Genomic DNA, 20,171 nt, shown 5'->3' with positions numbered 1-20,171 from the left:
TTTGCTTTGAGGATGCAGTGAGCTATAATCACATCAATGCACTCCAGGCTAGGCAACGGAGATAGGCCTTGTCTCTAAAAATAACAAAGAAAACAAAAGAAGAGAGATACTGAGCAGGTAGAAGGGGTACTATGATATTTTGGATGTACCTGTTTTTTAAAATGATTGTCTACTCCAATACACAGTGAATCCCTATGCATTATAGGATGAGTGTGCTGGATTCCATGACTTCCTTGAAGCCCATGAATTCTCTGAGACTGTCTCCATCATCATTGGGATTGTTTGGCTCATGAGCATGAATTATAGAGACTTAACAGAGGTAGTTCAACCAAGGACAGAGAAAGGTCTGAAATGCCTGTTGGGTGAGGAGTGGCACTGAGATTAGTAAAAAATCACTGCCTTGACCACTTCAAAACATTATAAATAAATGTTTAAATATTTCCTTAATATAATTTACTAACAGATAATTCGAACGAATGTCAAGGAATAACACACTATCATTCAGCTACCATATATATATAGCTATATATTTCAGTTTGTGAAATAAACTAGTATTTAGAACAAGCAATTGAAAGCCGCAAATAAAGATGATGAAACAAGTTGGTAAATACTTTTTCTAAGCAAACTGGTTGTAGATTTAGCATTGTTTAAATTACTGTCAATTTTTTCTTATGAGGAGTGATTTCATCATTTGTTTAAAACCTGGCTTTTGACACAGTTTTTCTGAAGTCTTTAGAAATTTGAAAAATTATCTCGCATGACTCTGTATTTCATGAAATACCAATATTTTAACATTTCCCTGTAAACAATAAAACGTACTAATATGGATTATGAATGTGAACAAATTGTGAATGGACTTTTTAAGAAAGTAGATTAATTAAATATCTGTAACCAGAAAATACATTTTTAAAATGTAGGTTTGTGTAGTTTTACTTCTATACCTTGCCACATAACATTTTGTGATAGACAAATGCTCTTTGTTTAGAATTTCTCTTGTAGAGAAAGCTTCATTCAGTTGTTTCTTTCCCTTTATTTATATGCCTGTGTGCATGATGTCTAAATCACTGGTCAGGAGTTCCCTGGGGATTTTCGTATCTGACTACATGGCAAGATTCCAGACCCAAAGTAAACCTTTCAGAGAGTGGGAATGAGTGGGAGGATGTCGCCCTGGGCATGGTGCTTAGGAGGCCAGATTTCCCTAAACCTGCTCTGCTGGGAGCCCTAGGAAGCCTCAGATGCAGTCTGCTGTCCAGGTATACTCACAGGGTATGGGGTGGGGGACTGTCAATTTCTGAATAGACTTTGTCTCATCCACACGACAACATATTTTAATTTTAAAGGCGAACGTCAACCTATTTAGAAAACTATAAGTGTGACTGATGCATTCATTATTTAATAACTCCGGGGTGAAACTTGAGGTGAACGGTTTCACCCTTTCATACTCAGGAATGGAACTAGTCCTCGGTACCGTGCACAGTCTGACCTCACGCTCGCACGCTGGGCTCCCGGCCTCCTGGCAGTGCACTTAAGTGTACCCCGCGTGTGCCCGGCGGACTCCCGTGCACACCGCCGCCGTGCTGTTGAGTACGAAAGACCCCCGAGAGGAGCTCGCAGATGAGAGCCTAGCTGTTGCTGTGAGACTGACTGCGGGTGGCAGCCGGCAAGAAGGAACTGCCAGTACCGACCCTGGCGCTCCCCACCAACTGCGGCGCAGCCTCCTCTGCGGTGCCCGCCCTTCGGCATCACTGCAGTCCCTGTAGCAAAGCTAACTTTAAAAATTTAAATAAAATAATAATTTTTTAAAGGCCCGAAAACTCCGGCTCCCACCCCTCCCCCAGCCTGCCCGGCGGCGGCGGCGCTCAGTGAGTGACACGGCGAGCGTGAGCCGCGGCCCCAGCCGGGCCGAGCGCGCTGCCTGAGCTGAGCCGCCGTAGGTGAGGGGCCCGCGTCCCCGCCCGCCCTGGGCGCCGCGCCTGGCACTGATCCTGCCGGTCGCCCACTGTCGCCGCCGCCGCCGCCCGCGGGCACCATGACAGCTCTGAGCGCTGGGGTTACAGGTTGGTCACCGCCGCCGGTGCCCGGGAGGCTGCGGCGCGGCCGGCTCCGTGCCCTGCGCCCGAGGCCCGCGATGCGCGCTCGTTAGTTCCTTGGCCGGTCCGGGCCAGGACGGCTCAGGGGCGCTGGGGCTGCGAGAGGGGCTGCTAGAGGGGCTGCGGGCGGGGGCCCCGCGCGGGGGAGGGGTGGGGAGGGGCGCCTCCACCCGAGAGCGGGGCGGTGGGGTCCTTGCCGGCCTGGCCGGGGCGCGGGAGCCGCGATGCGCCCTCCCTATTCCTGCGCGTGGGTGTCGGGGGCGCCTGCCGCGGGATGCCCCTGGGCTGGCTTGGGAAGCCCAGGGCCGGCGACACCTCGGGCCTGCCCCGCCTGGGCATCTAGCAGGTGTTGGGGGGCAGGTGGCTGAGGACGAGGCCACTGGGCATCACTACAGCGCTGCACCTGCCCCCTCGGCACCAGGGCCGCTGCCTGGGTAAACCTCTGGGCCAACGCGCGGGTGGGGAGGTGGGGGTGGGCAGCCTGGCTCCAGCAGGTCTCCGCGGGGGCTCCGCGGCCTTGCCCCACCCCCATGCTCCTGTGGATTGCTCCTTGCTAAATGTCCCTTATGATATTCATTGGCCTTGTTAAGCAGCCGTCATTAGGGTGGCTACACCGAACGCAAAACAGTGTCCTGCCAAGCAACACCATTTTGTCACTGAATCTTTAAGACACCAGCAAGGATGGCCTGGCTGGGATCCCTCTGGGGGCCCAGATCGCAGTCATTTTGCTGACTTAATGTTCCTCTTTCAGGATGGTGTGAGAATGCTGAACTCAGACCCTTAGTGCTTGAAATACCTTAGAATAAATCTTTCAGTTTCAGGTACAATTTTTCAGACACTGTATTATTAAGGATGTGTGAATACACGCTCACTTTCAGGCCTCAGAAGGTTTTACTCTTAATCTGGTGTTCGTGTGGTCATCAGCTAGGCCCGACTGCCCTGGTGGTGAAATGTGGGTTGAGGACCAGTGACCTTCGTGTTAGTAGTTGGTGGATAACACCTCTAATAGGGGATCAAAAATTAACAGGTGGCGATTTTGAAATATATATGTATGTATATATATATATATATGTGTGTGATTTGTATGTTCATAACTACAACTGTGATTTGATATGGCCTGGGAGAGGAGCGGTTTCACTATGGTAGTTACCCCTGAGGCAGATGCATCTCAGGACTGGCTTTTTAAATTCAAAGATAAGGTTTCCACAGTTCTAAATAAAAATCATGGCTTCCCAAACATCTGCAACGAGAAACATTTACTCCCTAACTGGTTGGCTGTCATTCTGCGTGCTTTTCTAGAGTCGATTTTTCGTTCTTCTGTAGTATACTTTGACCTAGCCACTGCTAAAACCAGACAGTGTGAAGACAAAATCCAGCTTTGGAGAAAAACTTAAAAAGTGAAAAGGTTCAGTTGGATCCTCTTCTGTGTTCATAGAAGACATAATCTGTTTGCAGAATAAATGTGCCGTCACTGATAAGGACTATGCTAAAATCTCTACAGAACTCTAGGAGAAAGCATGTCTTATAAAATAGTGGTTGTACACTTATAACTTTGGATAGGACTTGCAAGATATTCAAAGGAGAAATGTACTTAAAAAATGTACTTAAAAAAAGTCTACTCAAAATAGTGTCATTTAGTTGCAATTTAGTGAACTGAAGATTTGAGTAGCATTTTCTTCTTCTTGGGTATGGCATTTCTTTGAAATGGTTTCCAGGTGATTTTATCATTCCGGCATGCTTTGTGTGTGCATGTATGTGTATACACAAATGTACACATTTGTTTTATCATTTATCGATGATGTTCAGATAATTTCAGAATTTCCATAGCTGTATAAATTTATCCCAGGTCAGAGTCACATGTGGATTTCAAGTTTGTGAATGAAAATTCACATCTACACCTCTATATCCTAAGATAAGCTAAGCACTGGGCCAGAAGCTGGGTGGTGAGTGAGAAAAAGAGATAAACTGAGAGCCTAAGAATCCTTCAGGAAAGACAAATATGTAAGCAGGTGGATATACAGTGAGATGTCTTATTTTCTAGTTTTGCTGTGGAAACTATGATAGTGAGCTTAAACATATTAAGAATGGTCCCCAAGGCCACACACGGTGGCTCATGCCTATAATCCCAGCACTTTGGGAGGCCAAGGCAGGCCTATTGCTTGAACCCAAGAGTCCAGACCAGCCTGGGCAACATGGTGAAACCCCGTCTCTACAAAAAAAAAAAAAATTCACCAAGTGTAGTGGTGTACACCTGTAGCCCCAGTTACTTGGGAGGCTGAGGTGGAAGGATCGCGTGAGCCCAGAGATGTCAAGGCTGCAGCAGGCTATGATGGCACCACTGTACTCTAGAATGGGCGACTGGGCACAGAGTGAGACTCTGTTTAAAAATAAAAAAAGAATGCCCCTGTCCCAAAATGTTATCAACATTTTAGAGCTTCACTCATGTTATACAATTCTCGCCTGTCTCAAGGACCAGCACAGATTTTCATACCTTCAAACTCTATGCAAATGCTTAAATTTTTTTAATTGATTTTTTGAATTTTAAAGTAACCAAAGTTGATAGAGATGATAGAATGATAGAGAAAAAAGAGTAAACAGCTAGTTTTAATAACCGAAGACAGATGACCACAATATCTGTGTGTTTTTTGTAGTCTTTTTAAGGGCTTGACTTCAGGTAGTTGTCATCGTGGCATTGGACAACTTTTATACTGTTTTTACCACTGAATATTTATTATAAATATTTAAAATATTTCTATATAATTTTCTTACTTAAAAATTGTAAATGGCTGTATAACACCATACCCAGTAAATACAGCCTCATATATTTAACCATACCTCTATCATTGGACATTTGCTGTTTCCAGTTTTTCATCATTATAAACAGTGTCCTGATAGTTATAATGTAGAGATTTATTTCTATTTTATGTTTTTCAGTATAAATATCCAAATATGTCCATATCTGTCACCTATTTTTCCATATCTTCAAATTGGTTTCCTGAAAAATTCAGATTATAATTTATTTATGATAAATTTCCAGTAATTATGTCTTTGAAAAAAGAAGTATCTGAATTATTATAGAGATATATTGTATGTCTTTAAATTGATTTCCTAAAGAATTCAGATTATAATTTTGAATAAATTGCTTAATCTGCTTTTGAGGTAAATCTACCCTTTTACAAAAAGTGTTGGTGGATCACATTCCCTCTTTTACAGAAATAAAAGAAGGTAACATAATAATTTGGATGTTTGACCTTTGTGCTATATAAAAACTTGACCTTTACAAAAATCACCTGAAAACCAGATGCTAAAATATACCTCTTAGAGTAAAGCCAAAATAGGAATACTATAAAAGTTCAAAGCTGGAAAAAGAAAAAAATCAATGCAAGTTCCTTTAGAAAATTGGCTGTTGTATTCAGGAGTCTAATTCTGCTTTTTGCTTTCCTACTCAGACTTCAAGTAAATGATCAAAAGGGCTTACATAGTGAGAAATCTGTACCCCCACAGGTAAAGGAAGAAGAGGATCTTTCTTTCCTAGGCTGCAGAATCCAAGGCTTTTCTGGTAGATTCAGTATAGATGGAACAGGACTGATAGGAAAAGCTAAAGTTCAGTTCACAATTTCCTTTCTAAGATCAGTGTACAAAAAATACGGAAGAGAGACCCTGGAAGAGCCCCTTAGTATGAAGGAGCGAAGTTGAAAGTTGGAAGCAGGCTTTTGTAAAACAGAATTGCTTGTTTCTCCATGAGATCCCAGGGCAAGGCAGCCATACCGGAATATGTTCTGAAGACAGGGACTGACCCCACAGGTCCAGGGTGGGGGCAGGGGTAGGCCTCCGCAGCAGGAGTGGAAGAATTAGAAGTAGGATAGACCAGAACACTGAAGCCAAGAGAATCATTTATGAAGAGATCAAGAGTGAGAATTATTTCCAATTATGCAAAGAAAAGAGATGAAAAGAGGATGTTGTTTGGAGAGAGAATGATATAGATGGAAGACAGCCAACAGAGACACACCAATAAATGTTTTTCCTGACAGAGGGGATCACAGTGCATGGAACACAGCCATGTTTTAAAGTGAGATAAGATTCTTTTTTTCTTTTAGATTAAAAACAATCCAAATCTTCAGATGAAAATAAGTTATCATGTACCAAAACAATTAATAAAACTTAGCCAACATCTACATATAGCCTGATAAAAACTTTGGATTTGAAAACCAATAAAAAGAAAAATATTTCACCATCATTGTGATCAAATGCTTCAGAAATTACTTATCCACAAAGAGAAAATTTAGATTAATGTTATACTTCCTCTCTAAAATTATCAGCAAACATAAAATAACGTCCTGAAAATCTGTAGTCCTGAAAAATATCAGTAGACAATTCTCTTACGTTGTAAATGAGTCAAAAGTGAAAAATAAATAGGTGAAGAAATACATACTAGGCAAGTGATATCAGTAAAAAAAAATGAGGTAGAAGTGTGTAAATATCAGAAAACAGTTCAAAAAATTGTTTGATTAAATGAGAAAAAAGACCGTAAAGTCATAAAAGTTGCTATCTTTAATACATTTATAACTACAGGCTTCCCATATATACCAACGATCAGAGCATTATAGTATGCACAGTCAAAAGCATAATGCTGGCCGGGCGCGGTGGCTCACGCCTGTAATCCCAGCACTTTGGGAGGCCGAGATGGGTGGATCACGAGGTCAGGAGTTTGAGACCAGCGTGGCCAACATGGTGAAACCCCGTCCCTGCTAAAAATACAAAAAAATTAGCTAGGTGTGATGGTGGGCACCTGTAATCTCAGCTACTCGGGAGGGGAGGCTGAGGCAGGCGAATCATTTGAACCCAGGAGGCAGAGGTTGCAGCGAGCCGAGATCACGCATTACACTCCAGCCTGGGCGACAGGGCAAGACTCCGTCTCAAAAAAAAAAAAAAAAGTCTGATGCTTATTTTAGGGGAAATGGAAGCGGAAGCATGCCCACAGACTCAATATCTTTTTAAAGAGTTTTGTGACCTAAAATGGTATTGGGAGTCAGCATTTCATCTTAAGAAGTACAAAAAAAAAGGAAAAAAAAGAAAGAGGATAAAGTTTTAAGAATGAAAACATGAATGAATTCACTATGACATAGATAAACTCTAAATCTGATAGCAAAAACTGAGAGCTACAGCATTCCAATCTGGGAGGAATATTGATCTACAGGTATATTTAAGGTAAATTAGAATGCCAACAAATTGGAATGATGACAAGGAGGTTAGTGAAGAAATGCACTGGAGAAATTGGATATACAATTCCAAGATTGAAGAACTGGAATCAGATTGCAGTAATGGAAATGAAGAGGTGGATGGTAAAGATATATCCACAAAAACTAATGCTACCACGTCTTAGTGATGGAAGGAAGAGAATGAAAGGGAGTCCTAGGTTAAAAATAATTTCCGATCATCGAGCTTGGGTGATTGTGCTATTGTATTCTATTAAGTCTAGTTAAAAGAAATTGTTACGGCTTTATCTTTCAGTTAATAGTATCTACAGGGTAAATCCTTTGCTTCATTCCCTTTTCTAGTTGTTTTATTGTTATTTTGAAATTCACATGAGATTACTTCCAGAGGCAATATCGTTTTGCTTCCTTTCTTTGAAGGCATTGAATGGCAATTTAAAGGTGTAGTCTAGACTAGAAAATCATAACAGAAACCCCAACAAAAACTCAAATATCTTAGTTATCCTTTTATAAAACAAAAATTTAATTCCTGTATACAATGCAAGTTAGTTATTTTAAAAGTAAATTCTGAAGATTTCTGAGGAAAGAATAGAATATACTGTATATACATACAATTATAAATCAAAATTTTTGTCTCAGACATATTTTGCCTGTGTTGCTTATAATTAGACTCTCTTATTCTTTTCCACACAGAGCCATGACTATGCAATGTGAACTCTCTAAGTGTTCTCTTCTGAGCATCTAGGCTAGTGATGCCTCATTAATTTGGAAACAGTGATGGGAGAGGTGTGCAGGGATCACCTGAAGATGTTTTTAAAAAAATACAATGTCCTGTTTTCCACCCTTAAAGATTCTGATTTAGTATGTCTGAGGTGAAGGAGGCCTCAGCTTGAGTGTCTTAGTTAGCTTGGGCTGCTGTAACAAATAGCACAGACTAGGTGGCTTAAACTCCAGACTTTGGTTTTATACAGTCTGGAGACTAAGAAGTCCAAGATCAAGGTGCTGGCTGATTCCTGTGAGGGCTGTCTTCCTGGTCCACAGACCATTCAGCTGCCTCCGTTCTTCTTATAGATTCGCTAGTCCCATTCATGGGGTCTCCACCTTCATGGCCTCATGACCTCCCAAAGGCCCCACCTCCAAATACATTAGAGATAAGAGCTTCAACATATGACTTGAGGAAGGCAGAACCATTCGGTTTATAGTGTTGAGAATGTTTCTGAACCTCCCTTGATAATTCATATGTTAAGCAGTCTTTAGGAATTACTATTTTAAACCATCCCCTTTTGAGCAAATTTGTGGATTCATATTGCAAAATTTAACAAACACAAAAACATAATCTCCCTTTGATCTTCTGTTATGTTTAAATATAGTAGCAAATTTTGAAAACCACTGTTTTAAACCATCCACCTTCTTTATCTAACCTTTACAGATTCATATTATAAGATTAAACAACCACAATCAAAATAAGTATCCCCTTTCTGGTTTTTCATAATATATAAATGATAGTAGCAGCTCATCAAAATAAAATATCCAACACTGGATAATTAATATAGAGTAGGATATATACTCAGCACAGGGTAGGACGGTGGTGGCCAGGGGCTGGGAGGAGGGGAAAATGGGGAGTTGTTAATTACTGGGTAGAACGTTTCAGTTATGCAAGATGAGTGAGCTCGAGAGATCTGTGTTATGACATTGTGCCTGTAGTTAACATTTTATAGTGAATGTAAAAATCTGTTAAGACAGTTCTCGTGTTAAATGCTCCTACTACAATGAAACAAAAATAAAAATTACTGTGATGTAGGTGACAAAAATACGACCCAGTTCCCTCTCATACTGCTTGACAGTTTTAGTTTGGGCATGTAGGTGCAATGACAGTTTTAGTTTGGGCGTGCAGGGTGCAATGACAAAAGGGCATTGGGGCATTGTGGTGTGTACTGAATCCCTTTAGCAAACCCAATCACTTTAAAGGCCAGAGAAAATTCAATTTTCACAATTAAAAAATAAAACAAAACAGAATCCTTGGAGAAGTAATGACAGTTTTGGAGTTTTTCTAGAAATAACCAGAGAAAAATAACCTGCTGTTTTACTTTGGGATTTAAGAAATAGACTCATAAAAAGTGGGGAACCATTTTTTATTTCTAATCAGTACCTTGACAAAAGGAAAACAGAAGAGTCTGTTTTTGGAGATGGTTCTTTGAAACATTTGCCTTCCCCTATGTGGTCACCACCTTGGGTAGCCCTTGAAGTCTGCTGGGACTGGACCATGCATGCAAAATTCTGTTTTTTGCAGAGCTACATTATTTAGTGAGGGCCAAGACACAGATGAATGAGTACCCCAAAAGAAAAGTGGCAGGTGGCATTTGGAGGAGAGAGAGAGAAGGAGAGAGGCAGAAAGAAAAAGAGAAGGAAGAACAAAGAAAACCAGGCAGCCAAATCAGGGTCTTGACTTTTGTACAAAATTAGATTGAAAATCAACCACAACAATCCACTACCTGCAGGGGCAGGGGAGTGGGCCGCTGTTCTGTTGTGGAGACACGCATTGCCGCTGTGATGCCCAGGGTGTCAGTTTTTTGATGCTGTCTTAGTTCTCCTGCTAACATGTTCTCTGCTGTGTTGCTGGGGGAGACGCAGGACTCCAGGCTAAGTTTAAGAGAGAAAACATAGAGCTGCTGCCTTTCCTCTGAGCAGAGGCCAGATTACAGGGAATGATGCATCCAGCTCATTGAAGTTCACAAGCTAAGGATACGCGGAGGAGAGGCTTGCTTGAGAGGGCCCGGAAGGACTGGCATTGTAAGTCTAGTGGCAGGCATGCTCTAATTTGGTTTTATTACTTAGACGTGGAATAGGCAGGAACTTGGAGATTCCCGTCTCTGTTCTCTGGGAAAGAAGACTGTTCTATTTACAAAGACTTGAAAGGGTCAGACTGAAAGAAGACATGGACAGCAAAGTATTCCTGGGGTGGCAATCAGAAAGACCTGGCTCCCTCGTGGTTTATCACAGCTAACCATGTGACCTCAGACAAGGCACTTATCTTCTCCAAAACTCAGTTTCACCTGTAAAATCAGAATAACAGAGAGAGAGACACTTACCTCATTGAGGCATGGTGAGAAATAGGTAACAATTAGCCTCACACTTAATAAACCCTCAGCAAATGTTAGGTGTAACTTGTTTAAACTGAAAATTTTTTTAATGTTTTACTTGTTTCAAAGAAATTATAAATAAAACACATCATCTTTGTGAACATGTACAGAAGTTCGTGTTTGTGAAATGTACAAAAGTTCTTAAGGTTAAAAAGTGAAAGTCAAATGCTTCACCATTTCTCTCCCTCCCTCTGTTCTCCCGACAAATAGACTACTTGGATTCTAAACTTGCTTCCAATTCATGTGGGTCTGGGCATGTTTGCCTCCAATTTTTAATCTCTGTAGTGGGAATAATACTAAAAACTACTTCAGAGAGGTGTCAAATGCTTAGAATAGTGCCTGGCATGGAGTAAGCTTTCAATAATATTTGTTCTCATCTTTCAAGTTAAAAAAATGAGTACATAATGTCTAAGCTTGCTTCTATTCTATAATTATGCACAGTAGTTTATGGACTTTCATTCTACCCTGAGAAATGATCAAATGCATAAAAATCTGAGCAGTGTCAAGAGTATTAATCACTTTTATCATTGGAAGTCACTTTGGATATCATCTATTGCAAAGTCCCAGACAGAGGAGAAATCTTTTCTGCAAACTCTAAAATGTGTAGTCATTCCCTCTGAGAGTATCCATAAAGGAGTTTACCACCTTTTGGGATATTCCAACATATTATGATTGGAAACTTATAGAGTAGATGTTCTTTTTATCAAATAAACAGTCACCTCTTGATAAACTTTTGTTAGAGAATTTCTATTTTGTCTGCATTTTCCTTGCTAGAAGAACAGAGAGCACTACAAAACAAATCATAACAACTGTGTTCTGGGCTTTGGATTTTGGGTATGACAGAAAAACTTTCTCAATACATACCTTTTAATTGCTCTTGCACAATCTCTGTAAAAAATTACATACATTCTTTTAGCCATGTATCATAGGTGGAATCTATTTTTTAGTTTTCATATTCTTAGCCTAGTCAGTCAAGAAATTACGAGACTAAAACTAACTCTAGGAAGTGAAGAAATCTGTCATTTTAGGAAATGGAGAGATCTGTCTCTTCACTACATGGGGTGAGATTATCAAATGGGAGTTAGTAAATATGTTTTTCTCATTCTTTACCAAATTTAGAGAAAAAAATAATGAAGGTATAATAGAATATTTCTAGGATTCATCCTCAAGGAAAAAGGAATAATAAATGGATAATACCTTCAGAAACTTGAAAGGGTTATTTAGATAGATTTAATGAGAGGTTTGATGATTTCTACCAGAAAAAAATTGACATTTTTATAAGTGTGTGGTGAGAAAAATCATAAAGTGAGTCAGATAATAAAAATGGATTCAATTTCAGGAGATGAGAAATGTCTGTACTATTTGCACAAAAAATAATTGATGCCAAGAGTTTGTAAACACCAGGCTATATGATTTAAATATATTGAAAAAGTCATTTTCTCATTTCCTGTCCATTCTGTAATATACTTAATTTTTGATTCAATAGTTCTGTCAGGCACATTGTCCCGTCTTGTCTCTGTGCCTAAGTTTCCTCATCTGTAAAATGGTTCTTGTGAAAATGGAATGACATAGTGCATATTCTTTTTTCTTTTTTTCTTTTTGAGACAGAGTCTCACTCTGTCACCCAGGCTGAGGGGCAGTAGTATGATCTTGGCTCATTGCAGCCTCTACTTCCCAGGCTCAAGTGAGCCTCCCACCTCAGACTCCTGAGTAGCTGGGACTACAGGTGCATGCCAGTACTCCCAGCTAATTTTTTGTATTTTTTTTTTTTTTTTGTAGAGATGGGTTTTCTCCATGTTGCCCAGGCTGGTCTCGAACTCCTGGACTCAAGCGATCCACTGCCTCAGCTTCCCTAAATGCTAGGATTACAAGTGGGAGCCACCACACATGGCCTGAAAATGTATGATATTATTAAACAGACTGGCACATAATAACCCCTCAACCAACATTTTTGTTAGAAGGACTCTGTTTTTGCATGACAGTAAACGTAATTTGGGTTGAAATCAACCAGTGAGCTCACTATTTTAACATGGAAACTCTCATGTATCCCAAAGCACTTTTTCATGGGGTATATGTGTGTGTGCAAGTGTGTGTGAGCTACTGAAGGCTATTTTCCTTTGGAGAAAGCATTCTGAGTAGGAGATAACATTCATTTTTACAGCAACTTCTGTTTTTAACACTTTCCCTTAAATTGTCGTGATGATTGAAATCTCAAGGCAGTCATTGAGCAGCCCCTAAATGGGAGACAGCAGAGTTGCTGGATTCTGGTCTGGAAAGTGCCCAGTGCGTGTGAGAGGCTGTGGAGGCCGTGAGAGGTGACCTCATGGAGGGAGAGGAAGAGCGTGAGCATGCAGGACACAGATGATCTGGGCTCAGAGAAAGAGGGGAAGTTCATACACTCAAGATGCACAGAGAGGACACTCAGCTGGGCAGAGGGAGGTGCAGGTATCAGTAGCTCTGAGGCTCAAATGGGCCCTGGGAATTGGAGGACGGCAGAGTGGGCAGGGATGGTGACACATGAGGCAGGTGGATGGATGTTGGATAACAGATAATAAGACAAAAATATGGGGTATTTTTTCCTAGTTGAAACCATAGCATAAAATGTATGATGCTACATTCATTTGCTCTGAATGGACATGTCTTCTGTCTGAGAAGGAACTTAGCAAGCAAAATTGACAGTCAAACTTTACAGAAACAAGGCCATCTTGCTGTTAAGCATCGCCTTTTGTCGTCAAGTTTTCACTGTGGTGTATTGAGGTAAAACTGAAGATGTAAATGTGCATATAGGGAAAGGACAGGAAGCTCTTGTTCAAATGTAGATTTTAGTGGTTTGTTGTTTTGAGTTCTGTGGCTATTGGAACTAAAAAGAGGAAGAAATAAAAACATTTGAAATAAGAATTAATATTGTAATGCCTACATTAACAAATTGGTAACATCAAATACATGTGTCTTCAAAATATGGGGTAATGCCTTTCTCAGATACAAATTTAACACTGGGAACCTAATCTGGAAAGCTGTGCTTATATCAGCTCACCTTGTAAGGCCTTGCACGTATAAGCATGTGAATGAGCTATGGGACAAGAAAGACAAGGAAGGGGCACAGATGTTTGAAGGTAGTGTTTACTTACAGTTAGGATTTTCTGCACATGTGTATTTATTGACAGAGGATGATGTTCACAGAATATGGCTAGATTTAAAAAATCTGGTTACAAAACCATGTGTAAGCAGCCATTTAAAAATAAATGTATGCATGGAAAAATATATGTGGCAAAGAAAGTCCTAAAAGAGATACAATTCATATCCTCTTGGAGAGTAAGCACCCTAAAGAAAATTCCACAAGAGACCATAACTAATTACTACTTCATCTGCAGCCCCTTGTTCGGTGGCAGACACAATGTATGTGCTCAACAAATTCTTTGCAAAAATGATTGAGTCTCTAGAAGTGGAATCCCTGATGGCTTTCATTTTTGTTTCTTATTTTGTTTATATAGTTTTTCTAATTTTTCTACAACAAACCTGTATTACTTGTGTTAATGAAAATAAAATAAGAATAGAATTATTTTCTTCTAACTTAATTTAAGGTTTAAGTATTTGAGATCTAGGCAAAGAAAGACCAGTCAGCTCTCCTGGATTTTTGCATGAATCTCATTATGCCCGATAGCACAGAAACGTGTTGGGAATCCACTGCTCAATATTCCTTGCCTAGGGAGGTAGTATGGAGCCAGCAGTAAGGTACTGAAGGAATAAGAAAACCACTAGATGGACGTTGAAGAGAAAGTGCGCCACACTAGAGGCTCTCTTTTAATTAATCAGCTACTCTGCCTTTAAATACAGTATGTTGTCTTCCATGTCAGGAACATGGAGGGAAAAGACCTAGTATGTTTTGTTCAATGTTAAATCCACGTCACTTAACAAAATGGTCAGGATAGTCAAAAAACAAAACAATTATGCAAACATGAATGAATGAGAAACTTCTGCTAGCAATGCTGGTTGGTTTCCCAAAGACATGAAAGTCAGAGTTTGAGGTGAAGAGTCCCGGAGATGTTATTGAACATTTTCTTTTCTTAATTTCCTTCTCAAACTGTGCCAGGGATACTAAGCAAAGAGATAAAAACCCACCATTAAGTGTGTATGTGTGTGTCTGTGTCTGCAATAGGGCGGTTGATAAACAATTTCACTTGCACTCCTAAAGACCCCACAGTTTATGCACAAAAGTTATCAGAAGAGTGGTTGTTGGTATTGATGTATTGACAACCTTAATAACACCTAATGATTAAAAATGAGTCAATGACTTCTGTCTTCTTTGGGGCTTTTTAGAATGAAATAGATGCTTTCATTTTATACAAGTTGTATGTTTATCTTCTCACATCTTTATTCCCAAATATTAAGTTTTTCAGTTATAACAAATCACACACATAGACAAAGTCTTCATGAGTTAAGTGAGGGAATTAGGAAAGACTGATGTGGGATTGGCATTGGATAACAAAGAGGACATGGCTTGGATAAAGGGTTTGAATTAGTTGAGTAAAGGTTGCAGGATGGTGAATAATGGTATGTTTAGCCAACCTGAGTGCAGCATGTGGTATGAGTGTGAAAGGAAGTGCAGGTACAAATCAGTGGGACTCAGGGTCCTGGAAACATAAGGTTAAATAAAGTAGGCAGTTCGTAAGCTTCAAGAATGCCTTCATATTCAGTGCTGTATACCCAGCACATACCGCAGTGCCTGATACCACAGTGGATGCATAATATTTGCTGTGTGAATGAATGAATGAACAAATGAGTGAGTGAATGAGAAATAAGAAGATACACTGAGGTTTTCTGGGCTACAAAGGAGACCTACAGTGTGTTTGGAAGCTGATTTTTTTTTATATAAAAGAGGGAACATTTTGAAAGGCATCCCAGACCTGAGGGCCCATGGCCTACCTAGAAAGGAGTCTAGAAATGGGGATAGGTGAAAAAGGCCGTTGTACATATATGGAATGAATGAGCAAGAAAACAATCCACTGCTGAGAGTGGGTGCAAAGAGAACCTGCTGGGCCTTCCCGCTGCACATGGGGAACCTGAAGAGTTCAGAGCAGTAGGGTCTGGGACATGAGAGGAAGGAGAAAAGCAGGATGCCTGGCTCATGTCGCTCTCTCAGGCTGAATCTTCATTCATGATGGTGTTGGCACCGTCTTCCTACATCTGCGGGGGAAGCAGCACCGATACCTCTCTAAATTAGTAGCTGGACACAGATGGTAATGGAAACTGTAACAACAGGTGATCACTTAAGGGGTTAAGTAGAGAAGACAGGCAAGAAGGGCATGCTGTGAACCATAATTTGGAAGACAGGAGAAGATTCAAAAGACTTTAATACTGAACCCAAGAGAGCTGCAAGGGAAAGAAATGACCCATAGTGTTGCAAGGGCGCTGCAGTTAAAGAAAATGGAATATTTTAATTTTAATACTGTGAAGACGGGGCTGGAATGAAGTAGGGAAAGTATATACCAATAGAAATGAAATTGCTATCACAGAATACAAAAACTGGGTCTTAACCATTTAAAACAGCAATGAACATGGGATGAATGAGTTTCCTGAGTTGCTATAAGCTGTTTCTGAGTAAAAGATTTATTAATGGATACATTGTGACTGTGTAGCCTCTCTCCCGATATTGAACTATTTAAATACCAACTACTTTTAATAAATGTCGGAAACCTTTTGAAAGCCATGTTTTTCAAACTTTGTGTACTGTCTTATGAAGGACACTTTGGTAAACAGAAAAAAGAGATATTGGCTTATAAAAACATAATAATGATAAGGCTCAGATACACAGGAGCAATTTCCTATCAAAATAATAAACTTACCTAGGATACTTAAATATCCCTACTGGTTTTTATCAGAGAAATAATAGGTCTGCTGTATGCAGTTTTATTGATTCAACATGAATGAAGGCATAAAACAATATTTCTGTTTGCAAAGGAAAATTATTACAATCAACCACCTCAAATTAATTTTGAATTCCTCATGTGTTTGTAACTTAAATTTATTTTACTACTTGAATGCTTTATATAATATTTAATAGTATTAAATTAAATCTAGAGATCCAGGAGCTAGTTGTTGAGTTTTTATGTATGTGTGGATTAGCCAGGTATCTTTGGAGCTTAGATCATTTCTTGGGCACTGTGAGATTTAGTGGCACCTGGGAGCAGGTAAAGTGAAGGTAAATGTGAGTGACAGCTAATGTCATTCAGTTATAATTGCACTATTTTGGTTGGTCAGATATAACCAAAGTGGGAATTTTTTAAAAAACAATAAATTCTGGACATGTATTTTTCTAGATAAACAAATCCATAATCAAAAATGATTTTTGCTTTAGGTGGCGTATTGATAATAAAGGTGCATGGAATTCATATGCCCATTGTCTCCACTGCTCAGTGAAAGAGGAATTGTGGACAGATCTCTAAAATTCCTTATATAATCTTTGAAGTGAAACCACTCTTTTACTTGCTCCTTTGTATGTGTCATCTTGAAGGATTTCTAAAAGATTGTATCTACACTCAGTATTTGGGTGGATAGGAGACTGTCATTGAAGAGGCATCTCAAATTGAGGCCACCAGATTTCCTTCCCCACTACCAGTACATCAGAGAAAAAAAAAACACTTTAAATACTCTGTATACATTAACATGGGATATCAAAGAGTCCCAAACTCCAATTATATAACATAAATTAATTAGTGCAGCCTACTGCAAAGCCCATATTCAAACTCAATATTCAGAGCAATAACAGCCTGGAAATACCCAGCATGTCTTCAAGCCAGTTAGCTTGTTTTCTTCTGGGAATAGGAGGTGAATCCGTCCGTTTTCACACTTCTATAAAGAAATACCTGACGACGCTGGCTAATTTATAAAGGAAAGAGGTTTAATTGACTCCATTCTGCATGGCTGGGGAGGCCTCAGGAAACTTACAATCATGGTCGAAGACACCTTCTTCACAAGGCGGCAGGAGAAAGAGTGTGTGAAGTAGGAACTGTCAAACACTTATAAAACCATCAGATCTTGTGAGAACTCACTCCCTATCATGAGAACAGCATGGGGGAAACCGCCACCATAATTCAACCCCTCTCTCCACACGTGGGGATTGTGGGGATTATAATTCAAGATGAAATTTTGGGGGGTGGGAGGACACAGCCAACCCATATCAGGAGAGTTAGGCAGAGATACCTGCCCAGGTAGATAAAGGAGCACATAGCGATGGGGATAGGTGCTCAATACAGGCAATCAGATTCGGAGCTGCTTTGTTCTGAGTTTCTGTGTTTTATTCTCTTTTCCAGTAAAAACTGCATCTGTGTGCGCGCGCACACACGTGCACACACACACACACACACACACACACACACACACACTGCAAACATGTTCTTGTACTCCAGTGAGGACTAAGTGGCACCCATTGTGCTTGGTTAGGTTTCTTTCTCTAGACCCATGGAGCACCAGATAGGAGAGCCAGTGAACCCGCCTGATGTTAAAACTGCAGTGCTACGTTTTCCTGACTCAGCCTCTTTTTTTTGCCTGAAGCGCTCTTTTTTTTCTGTTACCCGCCTTGAGAAATTCTCCTAATAGTCTGCAGCTTCAGCATGGTCAACTCTAAACCCCTTACACATTGTAGTCAAACAGAGCTTATTTTAAATTTCAAGTTTGCTTGGATGGCCTTGGTCAAGTTATTACCTGCCTTGAGGCTAGCTTTTCTCATTTTTCTCATGCATGTGTAAGAAGATGAGTTTTTTGTTTTTTGTTTTTTTTTGGTTAGGGCTGTTGTAAAGATCAAATAAAATATCATTGCTAAGTGTCCCAAACATAGTATATGCCCATAGCTGTTAGTTCCTCACCTTCCTTTAAGACTCAATCCAGGTGCTAATCAAATGGGAAGTCTCACAGTCGACTCAGGGATCATCAGGTACCACCTGCCTTTATAACAATTCTTCTCACATTGTATTGCACTTATTTGCTATTTGTGTCCTGAGGGCTGACATATAATAGCCCCCCTTCAAGTGACTGCTGAGTTGTGGAAGGCAGTAGCAATGGCCATAGGGAGGTAACGTCTATCACAGGATGTAGATGTTTCAGAATTGTGGAAATTTAAGCAGTTAGCAGGCATCTCATCTCCCACCTCAATGTAATTTCATGAACAATTTACTTCAGAGTAGCTGGAAGAATTTAGATAATCACTGCATTCATAAAACAACATCTCCATTTAGGGGAGGTTCTTCCCCCATTCTTTCTGACCTCCCTCCCCTCCCAAGTTGGGAGATCAACTTGGGGCTACTGTTGGAAGTAAGAGACGTCTGTGAATGTCGTATTAAATTAACACTGGGGAAACCATGGGGAAGATCTGTGCATTTCATCTGTATTACTCAGCAGTGTTCTAGCACAAAGCACCTCTATGTGGAGACAGCTTTAGGTATAAGAGCATACATCTAAAAAGATTTTCCCAAGAATATGTCTGCCCTAAGAAGCAACCCATTTTACTCTAGCTATTCTAAATAGCTAGCCTCTAAACTGCTTTTGAAGTACATAAAATAATCCATTGCTTTGGGAGAAAAAAATCAAGCTTCTGTTGGTATTAATTTATCTCATCCTTTTAAAGTTTCTATTTTCATATGTTTATTATACACTATGGAGTAGAACACATATATGCCTTACAAATAAGTAGATATATGTGGGGAACTCAATTTTTTGATGAGGGCAAGATGGTTTAGATGACAAATACAACTTTTCCTTTTCCCAGACTGTGGTTTTGTGCTTGCTCACCAAAGCTAACCTCAGCATGCTCAAAAGGAAGCAGAGTTCCAGGGTGGAAGCCCAGCCAGTCACTGACTTTGGTCCTGATGAGTCTCTGTCGGATAATGCTGACATCCTCTGGATTAACAAACCAGTAAGTTTCTTCTTTGAGTATGGAGAAGCATATGTGGATGTGAGATAAATGTGATTGACAAATTCAAATATCATGTACCTTTGGCTTCGAAATATCTGAGCTGCAGTAGAATATGGATGAGGTTCAGAGTCTGGAAGTAGAGAACAATCCAATGAAATAGTGAGATGTCGCTATGAGTTACTCACATAGGAAGATGCACTGGGTAGTCTGATCCCCTCCCCTCCCCACGCTGTGCACCCTGTCCTCAGAGTCACATGGTGTAGAGATGATACCACTTCTTAGGCTGATCCAAAGCTGGGGTCCAAGATGAGCAACCTGTTCTGAATGAACCTCCTTTACTTGTTGTCAACGTTCCTGAATCCGTGAGACAATATGCACATGTTTGGAATTAAAGGTCTCCTTCTGATTTGCAAAATTTGAGTAAAAGGTCAATGAGATAATGGATGGTATCTCTGAAGAACTTTGTCACCTTCACCGCCTAATTAAGTTGATGAGGATTTGAGAAGAACTGCTAGGCCAGGCACGACTGTGTGCCAGAAAGCATAGTAACCAGAACTAAGCCTGACAGGCATGCATATCCATGAGTGCTGGAATCTCAGCTCTGCAAAACCAAGCAGGATCAACTTCTTACTCATCTCATGGTTGATGCTGAAGTAACAAAAGGAAATGGCCTGTTCCCTCTTGCAGTGCTTGTCCTTCCCCCAACCATGATACACACATGATCTGCTTGGACTCTTTGCTGTCCTTCCCAGTCTCTCTTCCTCTAATCTGCCCTCCAGGTTACTTTCCCTGCCTGCTCACATTTCTTTCTATATTTCTA

At 40.3% G+C, this 20,171-nt stretch overlaps 1 protein-coding gene across 8 annotated transcripts in view, besides 2 other annotated features; it reads left to right on the top strand.

The window, feature by feature from the left end:
- NALCN (sodium leak channel, non-selective) overlaps nucleotides 1,191–20,171 on the top strand; it is a 363,404-nt gene continuing 344,423 nt past the window's right edge. For 3 of the 8 annotated variants that reach the window (XM_011521069.3, XM_011521067.3, XM_024449336.2), the window contains exons 1-2: nucleotides 1,191–1,253; nucleotides 19,205–19,351. In XM_011521069.3, the coding sequence (XP_011519371.1) occupies nucleotides 1,236–1,253; nucleotides 19,205–19,351 (165 nt within the window). In that variant the 5' untranslated portion in view covers nucleotides 1,191–1,235. Of the gene's footprint in view, nucleotides 1,254–1,861; nucleotides 2,058–19,204; nucleotides 19,352–20,171 lie in introns of those variants that run through there. The other 5 variants (NM_001350750.2, NM_052867.4, NM_001350748.2 and 2 more) reach the window with 2 other exon arrangements.
- Nucleotides 1,960–2,510: an enhancer, noted in NCBI's record as "H3K27ac-H3K4me1 hESC enhancer chr13:102068211-102068761 (GRCh37/hg19 assembly coordinates)". NCBI's record gives its function as "activates a minimal SCP1, AML or CMV promoter by ChIP-STARR-seq in naive H9 embryonic stem cells {active_cell/tissue: H9 hESC(naive)}" and the evidence as "EXISTENCE:reporter gene assay evidence [ECO:0000049][PMID:30033119]".
- Nucleotides 2,511–3,061: an enhancer, noted in NCBI's record as "H3K27ac-H3K4me1 hESC enhancer chr13:102067660-102068210 (GRCh37/hg19 assembly coordinates)". NCBI's record gives its function as "activates a minimal SCP1, AML or CMV promoter by ChIP-STARR-seq in naive H9 embryonic stem cells {active_cell/tissue: H9 hESC(naive)}" and the evidence as "EXISTENCE:reporter gene assay evidence [ECO:0000049][PMID:30033119]".

The sequence above is a fragment of the Homo sapiens genome, chromosome 13, assembly GCF_000001405.40.
Source record: "Homo sapiens chromosome 13, GRCh38.p14 Primary Assembly".
Classification (NCBI taxonomy): Eukaryota; Metazoa; Chordata; class Mammalia; order Primates; family Hominidae; genus Homo; species Homo sapiens.
This window is presented reverse-complemented; position numbering and strand designations above follow the sequence as displayed.